General features: G+C 37.5%; 1 protein-coding gene across 11 annotated transcripts in view; it reads right to left on the bottom strand.

Moving 5' to 3' along the window:
* Positions 1-595: 595 nt before the first annotated feature.
* UHRF2 (ubiquitin like with PHD and ring finger domains 2) overlaps positions 596-11,946 on the bottom strand; it is a 93,856-nt gene continuing 82,505 nt past the window's right edge. For 6 of the 11 annotated variants that reach the window (NR_046386.2, NM_152896.3, XM_017014253.2 and 3 more), the window contains 6 exons: positions 10,290-10,452; positions 9,492-9,632; positions 7,719-7,815; positions 6,941-7,098; positions 2,959-3,057; positions 596-1,617 (listed from right to left, as the gene is read on the bottom strand). Coding sequence is in view for 6 of the 11 variants with exons in the window: in NM_152896.3 (NP_690856.1) it covers positions 1,471-1,617; positions 2,959-3,057; positions 6,941-7,098; positions 7,719-7,815; positions 9,492-9,632; positions 10,290-10,452 (805 nt within the window). In the remaining 5 variants the exon portion in view is untranslated. Of the gene's footprint in view, positions 1,618-2,958; positions 3,058-6,940; positions 7,152-7,718; positions 7,816-9,491; positions 9,633-10,289; positions 10,453-10,546; positions 10,707-11,946 lie in introns of those variants that run through there. The other 5 variants (XM_047422748.1, XR_428418.5, XR_007061241.1 and 2 more) reach the window with 5 other exon arrangements.

The following is an 11,946-nucleotide window of genomic DNA, read 5'->3' as shown; positions in this document are numbered from 1 at the left end:
CTAAAACTGAACACAGGACAGAAACTACAGAAAATGGTCACTAGATTACCATTTTAAATTTTTTTCCTATTAGAATAAACTTAAAAACAAAAAACAAAAAACAAACTGAGGGCCGAGTGCGGTGGCTCATGCCTATAATCCCAGCACCTTGGGAGGCCGAGGCAGGCGTATCACGAGGTCAGGAGATCAAGACCAACCTGGCTAACACGGTGAAACCCCGTCTTTACTAAAAATAGAAAAACAAAATTAGCTGGGCGTGGTGGCAGGCGCCTGTAGTCCCAGCTACTTGGGAGGCTGAGGTGGGAGAATGGCGCGAACCCAGGTGACAGGGCTTGCAGTGAGCCGAGATTGTGCCACTGCACTCCAGCCTAGGCAACAGAGCAAGACTCCATCTCAAAAAACCAACCAAACAAACAAAAACTGAGGAAGAAATTTGTTCTGAGTGCTTAAGATTTCATTCTGGTTCTCATTACCAGTACAAAGTAAAAAAAATGTTTCAATAGAGATGCACAATGAAAAACTCCAGAAATATAGGATCCTTTAAAACTGATAACATAAGCCAGACAAGTGTAAAAAAGTAAAGCAAAATGAGCTGTTTTTCTGATCATAAAATATTTATTAAGGTATACTTTAGGGAATATAGTGAATATAAAATTTAGGATCACAATATGAAGCAATTTCAAATCCTCTCAAAGGTCAGCACAGCCCTCAAAACTCTGCAGATGTAAAACCACTGGTGAGACACTAAAAGCAGTTCGACTAGTAGAGAAGTGGATTTTCATGAACATTTACAACTAGAGCATATGAATACCTCTTTTAAGTGCAAAACCACACCACATTACACTAATGCAGCAACAATGCATTCATTATTGTTCTCATTAGTCATTAGTAGTCAACTTGCATAAAACACCAGAAAAAAGCACAATGGAGTTCACAAAGTGGGCTAAAAAAAATGAACCTGTCCTTGCAAAACACACATTGTAATGGAAGAAGAGACGTTAAAAAAGTATATGCACACTTTAGAAGCTGTGTTCATTCCAAGGATCTCAAGTGTCATTTCCTTTTCTGTAAAATCAAATTACAAGAACCAGGCACAACTAATATTTGGGAGGCAGTGTGTAGCTAAAATTTCATTTAACTAGTTATTCAATGATTTTTAAAATCCCCATAAATCTTTTCTGTCCTGAGGTAGTTGCAAAATAAATCATAACTTGGATATCAACTAGAGCTGAGGCTTTGACTTTTTACTCATTAAAACTAGTTGTTACAGGAACTACCTTTAGATATTTAAAAGACAGTTGAGAAATGGGCCTCTTACTACACACACAAGATGATGGCTATGTGGGAAAGAGGATTAGCTGCTTCAGAACGTGAGAGATACAGTCCACCATTTCTTCCACCCTCCCCACCCATTTTAGATTCTTTATTGTCCAAAAAGCCACCATGAACAACACAGTGAAAGCAGGCAGATCATCGTCCTTTGCTGTAGCCAGGGAAGAAAAGGTCAAGTAGAGTCTGCAGAATCTCATTGGGAATCATGATGTAATTCTGGCCAAGATCATGCCGGCAAGCAGGGCAGGAGAAAACCTGTGCCTTAAAGGAGCGCTGTAGGCAATCCTATGGTAAAAACAAAAACATCCAATTTAATCTGAGCATAAAGCATGTAAGTACTCAGCAACTTATGCTTTTAAATAGGAACCAGAAACTGGTAATGAGAGAAATGTACAGAATGAACAAACATAAAGGCTTGAATCTGCACTATGGAAAAGACTACAGTCATGGCTTTAGTTTCATCTCTGGCAGATATTGGGAGCCTTCAGGTAAATTATTTATGTAATTTGTGCATCAGTTTCCTCATCTACTAAAATGGTGGAGTTAGAGATTACATATGGTTGCCACTAGCCTAATCTTCTGGGTTAGATTTCAACCCTGTCCTTTCTAAACAGAGCCCTAGAGGGGGAAAAAAAATCTGGATTCCCTTGCTTAGAAATGAATTTTATATTTTACCAAACCACTTAACACATATGGTGAGTCTTCAAAAAATATACTTAGCAGCCAGGTATGGTGGCTCATGCCTGTTATCCCAGTACTCTGGGAGGCTGAGGCAGGTGGATCACCTTAGGTCAGGCATTCAAGACTAACCTGGCCAACATGGTGAAACCCTGTCTCTACTAAAAAATACAAAAATTAGCTGGGCAGGGTGGTGCATGCTTGTACTCCCAGCTACTCCACAGGCTGAGACAGGAGACTTGCTTGAAATGGGGAGGCAGAGGTTACAGTGAGCCCAGATCGCACCACTACACTCTACCCTGAACGACAGAGTGAGATTCCGTCAAAAAATATATATATATATACACACACACACACGCATATATATATATTTAGCAGCACTAAATACATTAAACATACAGTTAACTCAAGATCAGGCACAAACTCGTATGTAGATTTGTTTCCATTTTATAAAAGAAACTGAAGTTCTGAAGTTAGGGCACATAATCACCACTGGGTAGAGCAAGATTCAAACCTTGGCTTGACTAAAACACAAACTTTCCTTTCACACCACACTGAAAACACAATATTCAATTCATCTGGGCATGATGCTAGGTATAAACTGTTTTATATGATTTATTAATGAAAACACTCCAGTTTGCGCTATAATATATAAAACATATAAGCTATTACAGACAAGAGCAATGACCTCTTACCTTCTTTCCCATTTCAGCCCCTCCTCAAAATTCCAAACATGATAGAATATCTCAAATGACACATATTTGAATTATTATCACTATCTAATTAAAACATGCATTTACCACCAAGACGTAACTAAATGCTTCTTAACTAGAAGGTTCCGCAACTATCCCGCTTCACGGAAAATGCTTCTTAGCATGCTAAAAACAGGTATAGAAATTAGTGTGCCTTCATACCTAACAGGGAAAGTGAGGAAGGAATTCTACTTACTTTACAGACATTGTGGAAGCACTCAGTTGTCACAGGCTGGTAAACTAGCTCCTGACAGCAAACGCACATAAAAGATTGTTCCAATTTTTTCAGAAAATTCTAGAACAGTATCCAAGGATAAGGAAAGAAAAGTTAGCAGTTCATAATATGCTAATAAAATTCATCTACTGTGTATTTCAAAACAGCTAGTAGAGAATAATTCAAATGTTCCCAGCATAAAAGATGTTTATAGTGATGAACATTCCAATTACCCTGATTTATTATATGTTATATGAACATATCAAAATTTCACATGTATCCCAAAATATATCCATCTATTATTTAGCAATAAAAATGTTTCAGTCACATTTAATGTCTTCTATTTAGAGGCCGGGCGCGGTGGCTCACGCCTGTAATCCCAGCACTTTGGGAGGCCGAGGCAGGCGGATCACAAGGTCAGGAGATCGACACCATCCTGGCTAACACAGTGAAACCCCATCGCTACTAAAAATACAAAAAATTATCTGGGCGTGGCGGCGTGTGCCTGTAGTCCCAGCTGCTGGGGAGGCTGAGGCAGGAGAATGGAGTGAACCAAGAAGGCGGAGCTTGCAGTGAGCTGAGATCACGCCACTGCACTCCAGCCTGGGTGACAGAGCGAGACTCGGTCTTAAAAAAAAAAAAAAAAAAAAAAAAAAAAGTCTTCTATTTAAAAAAATCAAGTACTCTTGATTTTTAACTACCTGAGAAGAGCAAAGTTATATAAAGAAATCCCATTCCATACACATTAGTTTTAAATCAGAGTATTGGGTAGGAAAAGTTGCAAAGTCAATATATGATGTTAAAAAGTCAATGTCCCCCTAAATGTCACATTCCAGGGACAAACTATTTTTCACTTAAAAAATAAAAAAATCATGGGCAACGTGTCTCAAGGTCATTACATACTGACTGCCTTTTTTCAAAAAGCTGTTTTGCACAGTATTCCAAAGTATGAACATGTATTATCTATTCAATCTTCTGCTGTTATAAAACTTGAATATTTGTCTTTAGGAGCTTAAAAAAAAACACTAGGAAACAATACTCTGTAGTATCTAATACCATAAACAAAACATTTATTTTCCTAGGATTATTCTGTCATATTTTACCTCAATCCTAAAATCCCATACCTTCCTGATGCTAATGTTTATTTACAGTAGGAGGAAATTATAAAAAGTAGAGCCACCTAATGTAAACATGATCAAATGGATACCCTGTATTCTTCAAAAGCCATTACTGGCTCCATTTCATCTTGGCTGGTTTTTTTTTTTAAGCTAGAAGGAAAACTAGTTTTTTTCCTAGTCATAAAGATAATCCTTCAGTTATTTTAGGTAGTAAGGGAGTATATTTCATATTTATTTTTTATATTAATAGAAAAAGTTAAGGCCAAGCATGGTGGTTCACACATGTAATCCCAGTACTCTGGGAGGCTGAGGCGGGTGGATCATTTGAGGTCAGGAGTGCTAGACCAACCTGGCCAACATGGCCAAAACCGTCTCTAGAAAAAAATACAAGAAATTAGCCGGGCGTGGTGGCGGGTGCCTGCAATCCCAGCTACTTGGGAGGCTGAGGCAGGAGAATCACTTGAACCCAGGAGGTGGAGGTTGCAGTGAGCTGAGATCATGCTACTGTACTTCAGCCTGGGAGACAGACCACAACTCCGTCTCAAAAACAAACAAACAAACAAAAAAACCTTACAAGTTTCAAATTTAAAAATTGAATGTCACATTTCAAAAGATGTCTCATATTAACTGATTTATGAACATGGATCATTAAAGTCAAATATATTACAGACAAAGTATTATAAACACATTTTTAAAATATGGCAATTATGTGGAGATGCTGGAAACTTTATAACAGGTACTCTCTCCCTAACAAACACCTTTGTTAATGACCAATATTTAACCTGGTACTTCCACAGTTCCTATAATACGGGTATATCTAATACAGGTATTTTGAGTTACAGGTAGCTACAATGTGCTAGGCACTCATCTACAGTGGTAATAAAAAGGCAGTCTGTGCTCTCCTGGAACTTACGTTCCTACAGCAGAGTAAACAAACAAAAACTGTTTCAGATAGTAATAACTGATGAAACAGAGCAAACTGACTCATGCCTATAAACCCAGCTACTTAGGAGGCTGAAGCGGGAGGATTGCCTGAGCCCAGGTGTTTGAGATCAGTCTGGGCAACATAGTAACCCCATCTGTTTGGACTTTTTAAACTAAATTTTAAAGAGTTGCCATTTTAGAAAGGGTAGTTTGGGAAGATCTCTCTGAGGAATCTATTTATACAGACTTAAAGGATATGAAAGAGTGAGACACATGAAAAGAGAATTCCAGTCAGAGTAACAGTATGTATGTAAAGGCCCAGGGGTATCAAGACGTCGAGCATGTTTAAATAAAACAGTGACCACTGCAGTCAAGCAATCTGGGCACAAGAGTACCAGTTTAAGAGGAGACTACAGATGTAGGTAGGGCTGCTGATCACAGGGCCTTTGGAAGGAGTTTGGACATAAATATATATACACATATGTATTTATTTAAAGTCACTGTTGGCTAACACCTGTTTTTTTCTGGCTTAATAAATGTGTTCCTGGCTTATCTGAAGAGAATGGGCATGAAACTTGTCCAGGGCAATAGTACATAACATCCAAAGTAATCACTAGCAGCAAGGTCACAATAATATGACCTAGGAAGGTCAGAATCTGTCCCAGTGGGACACTACCCATAGGGAAGACAACTTTCACACCACTCAGGTGGCTTTTTCCTCCATCTGTAATTGCTTCTCTCCCACCTACAGTGGAAACTCACCTCAGTTATCACTAACAAGCCCTATCTTTCCCAATCAGAGAATAATTAGGCTGATTAACAACTGCTTCCTGTATCTTAATTTCCTATAAGTGAAAATGAGTGTGACCTAACAAAGTCAGACTCTGCTTACGCCTGGGTGTCTTGGCTAAAATACAAGTAAACACTTCTCAAAGTGTAATCACTTTCCCCTGTCCTCTAAACATGTAAGCTTCATTTTGCCAAAGATAACTCAATGTATCACATTTATAGACAAAGGAAGTAACGATTCCAATATAAATCCAAATATTTGATAAATTTCAGCATTTCTAAAAGTTTAAAAATCATATTTAAAAAATTCTTCCTTAATAATAATGACTATTTCTCACAAAGGAAACTCTGTAGAGTTTTTGTGTTGCTGCTTTCAGCCTAGATAGAAAAGACATACAGACATGGGGGCACATCAACACTTTGGAGAGAAAGAAAACAGAAAAGTAATTGTATTATAAATGACAAGGGGTCAATATTTAATAGAAGATTCAAATTTATAAGTAAAATTAAAGACACAATAAGTGAGGAAAGAATGAAGAGATAGTTCATATTTGAAGACTCCAACTTTAGGGATTTGATAAGAAGGGCTTGTTTGCAAAACACAGCTTAACACAAAGCCCACACATTAATTAACTGTGATTCCTTTTTACTTTAAAATTATGTGATTAATTTAAAGATTAAGAAAAAATGAAAATTTAGAAACATAAAATACTTAATAGATAATCTGGTTAATTTTACCACTTAGTTTAACATGTAGGTTTTGAAAATTGTGCTGAACTGCTTAAGACTTATGCGGTTAGGTAACTTTGAACTGTAACAAAAACTTTCGTGGTGATTTTTAGATTAAAATGACGATGTTTCACAAACTGAAAATTCTTCTGAGGAACAGTACCTCAAAGTAAAGTAACTTTGGGCATAGAGAAGTCAAAATCCAGCATCTAAGAGGTTTAAAGTAAATTTAGGCGCATGTATATGTGTTGCCTCAGATTATTTCTGAAAGGTAGTGGCACTGGATTAGAAAACCGGGTAGAAGGATGAAGTTTTGACTGATGTGTGAAAAACAGACTTCATGAGACAATTATTTATCATTTGTTAATATCAGAATGTTATTATTTAAAAAAATCTTCACATACTGGTCCTTCCACAAGATGTGAAAGCACTTCATCCCACAGCTTCTGGTTTTGACAATCTTCTCTGATGAGATGTTGCTGTTGAGGAGTTAGTTGAAAAGCCTCAATTGCTTCTGCTGAATCTGATGCTTTGTACACTTTGGAGGCACTTGGACAGTCATCTAGATTTATTTTAAAAATGTATCAGCAGACTTACAAGTGGTTCTAAGCAGAACTATGAAACAAAAGAGTTAACTGGCACAAGTAATGTTTAGCAGAAAGATAACCAACATAAAACAGCATCTAATTTCCCCTAAAATTTAGGATACTGTTATTTCCTGCTATTTGGCTCTGACACTATTAAACAAAAGATCCATCTTCTACCATGCCCCCCCAGCCAAATCCTTTGCTTTCATTTAAGTCTCAATTTATTTTCTTAATATTTCTCTTTATTAAAAAGTATGTTGGCTGGATGCAGTGGCTTCTGCCTGTAATCCCAGCACTTTAGGAGGCTGAGGCAGGAGGATCCCTTCAGCCCAGGAGTTCAAGACCAGCTTGGGCAACATGGAGAAACCCCATCTTTACAAAAGATACAAAAATTAGCCAGGTGTGGTGGTGTACAGCCGTGGGCTACTTCAGAGGTTGAGGTAGGTGGATCGCTTGAGCCCAGGAGGTCAAGGCTACAGTGAGCCAAGATCTTTCCACTGCACTCCAGCCTGGGTGACAAGAGTGAGACCCCGTCTCAACAACAACAACAACAAAAGTATGTTATTATTATTTATATTTTGCAATCATTACCTACCATCTGAAATTGGCCTTTTTGTGGTTCCACTGGGCTGCTTCTTTGACTGTCCTTTAGGCTTCTTCCCTTCTTTATCTGAAGGGTAACCTGCTGGATACTGATGGGGGGGGAGGAGGGAGAGTACAATGCAGATTTAAGCTTCACAGAGAAGGGGGGTTTAGATCCTGGTGAGAAATTAAAAGGGAGGGGAAGACTACACGTTCCCCAAACTGAAAAACTTTACATAAAAGAAACAGACATTTAAAGGAAAAGAATTCAAAGCACAGACAACTATTAAAATCCCAATTTATGTAGCTGTGACTGCTAAGAGATTCCATTTTATAATACACTGATCTTAAGTTTCAGATCTAAGAAAGGTAAGTCTTCAGGAGTTGTGATTAGATTTCCTTAAAGTTTAAGGAAAGTAGAATACAGAAATGAAGGTAAATGAGAACCAATCATAGAGCACAACAGATAGAAAGCAGATGGATTGGATCACAGTAAATTGTGGAGTTGATCTAAAAAAATATCAAGAACATTAAGGGTCAAACTTCTCATCTCCTAAAGTTAGCGGCAGGAGCTTTTACAAGACCTAAAGCAACTAAATTACTAAATCCTCCACCAGCTAAGAGTTAGATTTGAAGTAATACATTCTATCTATCATCCTTATGTTTCAATGGCTACCTTCTTTGAGGGGGTGGGTGGGGTGGGAGAAGCATGCTTTGTAATAACAGTCATGCTTAAAGCACTGTATGTTTCAGGCCTCAATGACTATTACTCATCATAGCAGATGGGCTCACATGCTTCTGCTCACAGTTTCAAATATAACCTATCTAGAACAATGCTCTCAACAGGGACATCTGAAAAATCTTCTGAAAGTGAATTTGACAAAGTTATTTTTATATTAAAAAGAATTATTTTAGTAGTTGTTTTAGCAGTTGATGGCCTTATTTTCAACAATCAATTCTATGAGTTTAAAAAGACAACAAAAACAGAAACAGACTTGCATTAGAAGACACACACTCACCTGCCTGGGTGGTCAGACACTTGCCCATAGTTCAGCCCCTACACATGCAGTGTGGGCAGAGCCAGGGGAAATGATAAAGCTGGCAGTTTTTACGGGAAGCACAACAATGGGGAATGATGGGAGATGAACTCAAACCATGCTCTGAAGTCAGTGTCAGGGACAAATTCTAGGGTATACAGGCAGTGAAGGGATTAATGCAGCCATACCATCCACTATGCACACAAAATCAACGAAGTCTTTATGGGTTAACAGCTGAGCATGGGCAAAGGGGAAAAAAGACAAAGCACTAAAGGTGGTGGCAGGGCAGGGAAGCAGCTTTGCGGGGGAAGAGAGAAAAGGGGTGAGGAAAAGTGAGAAAGGGAGAAGGCAGACCACTCTTATAAAGCCACCTCCCCACCCTTCCCCTACCAGAGAGACACCCCCTGTGCCCTCTAGGATAAATGTCCTTTTCCAGGGCCTCCTATACCTAAATTTTATGAATCCCTTTCCCTCACACTTCAAGTCATTTCCAAATTGATTTGGAAATATTTTACTTTTAATTAACAGGTCCAACTTTTCCCAAGCACAACCCTTGGTCCCAGGGCAGTCTGACATCTAGGATACTACCTTTTCTCTTCTTTTCCTCTGTCTATTTGCATGATCTTATTCCTCACCCCTTATAGTCCACCAGTCAATTGCTGTGGGTTATATCCAGTGTTAAGGCATGTAGATAGAAGAGGTGTATATTTTTATGAACACACAGGCAGCCTAGACAAATGTAATCTAACCTGTAAACGTAGACATAATCTCCTTGACCGTTCTATTCCTTCAGAGGTCCAAGGAGCAGGTTCAACATCATCTCTTCTTAAAAGATAGCGCCAAACCAAGAATCCATGGCTTGATGAAATCTCTGGCCAGTATTTCACCACCTAAATCACAATATTTCAGTGCCAGTTTGAGATTTAAAATTTAGACTTATTCATCACATTAGTGGTATCAAAATAATCTTTGCCAGAACTAAATGCAACTTCTGAATATTCTGCTTTGCTGTAAGGACAGTAAGTCAAGAATATTCACTAAAACAGTTTTGACCTTAATTCCTATTACAGTACTTCCCATGAGGACAGACTGCTATAAATTTAATAGAGTAACAAGATTATGCTAATTAACAGAATTTTGTATCGTAAAGATGGCAGCAAATGCCTCTTTTTAAACAAAGAATGAAAATCTATTACTATGATGTGCTGCTTTGAAAATCTATTACAACTAAAATCATTCAAAAAGATATATAAAAATCAAGTTATACAACAGCCAGTTACTTAAATGGCTTTATTATAGAGAACATACACTTACATTTTAAAAAAAAAAACCTTAACCCAACTCTGCCCCTAGGAACTCGAAATAAGCCTTAAAAGTAAAGTGCTGAAGTTAAGAGTTTGCTTTATGCATCTGTTCAATTTCCAGAAAAAGTAGCAATATAAGATGGCTACTGTTTCCTCGAGCCCACCCACAGTAGTTCCTTGCAACAACCCTGCCTTGAAAGCCCAGGAAGAATGACAAACAAGATGTCATGCCAGATAGAGCACCTTATAAATGCCATCATATCTGTTGCCTTCTTCAGGAGCATATTTGCTGATCTTCCTCCCTTTAAAACTGCGTATCACTCTGACTGGCTTACCAGCTCTCCAATTCCGAGACTCTGCTCCAATTTTATCATCCAATGGAGCATCACAGTTTAGGGCCAATGCCCTAAAAAACAACAAAGAAGTCTTTATACCATGTAATTTTTCTTCAAGTACACAATCGAGTCATTAGCTCAATTAAAAGGTGAATTATACCTTACCTGATGGTTAAGATTCTATGATTCTTTCCATATTATTCCAGATAATAGGATTATGCTTTCCCCCACCAGCAGAGAAGACAAATCAGTTTTCTGATGTCACCCCCAAGCCAGGGGATTGGTTCTCAGATAGCCTGTAGGGTTCTTCTGAAAGTAATAACATCTGTGCCACGTATAATAGAAAACAACTAGAAATACATGGAATTTTTCTTTAAATAACGTTTGTTGGGGGAAGGGAGAACGTTGGAAAACTAAAGCAAATGATTTTTTCAATAGTGATCTTTGGTAAGGGTGTAAGGTGAATTGCTGGAATAATGTAGAAAGAAATCCAGAAATATAAATTTGTCAGCAAGGTACAAATGACCTTCCCAGGTCTACTTTCCACATTCCAGACAATAGAGAATCCTTAAAGTTTAAAAGATATTAAGAATAAGTGGTGTATGAGAATGTTCTTTAAAGGTCTCCATAAAAAGATAAATTTCAATAAGCCTGAAGCATCCAAATGCCTGTGCTAATGACAATGAAGACTTCTGGCTGCTTGAGATCACTACATTTTACTGATAATGCATTAATGCATGGTCAAAGAAGAACACTGAATTGGAAGTAGTACCTGACTTAGCTGGAACTTATTTAGTATATGCATTCACCTAATAGTAGTAAATCAATGAGCTTATTAGATGTTAGAAGACCTTACTCTTGGGAGAACCTAGTTGTACCAAAATCTGTATTTAAGTTATTTTTACTATTTTAAAATAACAATTTTAGAATCAGTTTAAAATTAGCATTTTCCTCTAGGACACCTACGTCTTAAGTGAAAAGAAAACACTGAGAACACTTAAGGTTTAAAAAACAAACAAAAAACAGAACTATACCCAATCTGGTGAAAGCAGATATGACATAAAATACTTCTTCAGGGTTTAATTCTTTTTATGCAGGCTCAAGTTAAAAAAAATAGACGTCAAGAAAATGACTAACCTATTGAAAAGAAATGTCTTGACCATAATTATATTTTTAGTGAGTAAATAAACTTGAAAGTATTTTGTTTTAAAAAATAACTTATATAGCTGTGGTCAAAGAGTTGAAGCTTCCCAAGTTACCTTTTTTTTTTAATCTAAAAGGAAGATGCATTAAAATTCTGAGAGGTAGAAAAAAACACAGCCATCAACTCTAGGGCTACTATTACGTCTTACAGAATACCTATTGAGATATTACACCTATTTTATCTTAAAGAGCTAGGGTAAGTTTCATTCATGTCACTGAATGGAATGCTTTAATGCTCACAGATACCTTCAGTCATAATTACTGCCACCACTAACTGGCACTGTCAACTCACTTCTGGCTTCAGATAATTAGGCTATTCAAGTATATGAAAAGAGTCCAAGAGGATGAAACTAGGCAATACA

Source organism: Homo sapiens, chromosome 9 (assembly GCF_000001405.40).
Source record: "Homo sapiens chromosome 9, GRCh38.p14 Primary Assembly".
In the NCBI taxonomy this organism is placed as follows: Eukaryota; Metazoa; Chordata; class Mammalia; order Primates; family Hominidae; genus Homo; species Homo sapiens.
The sequence above is the reverse complement of the archived record's forward strand: the minus strand, read 5'-3'. Positions and strand labels throughout refer to the sequence as shown.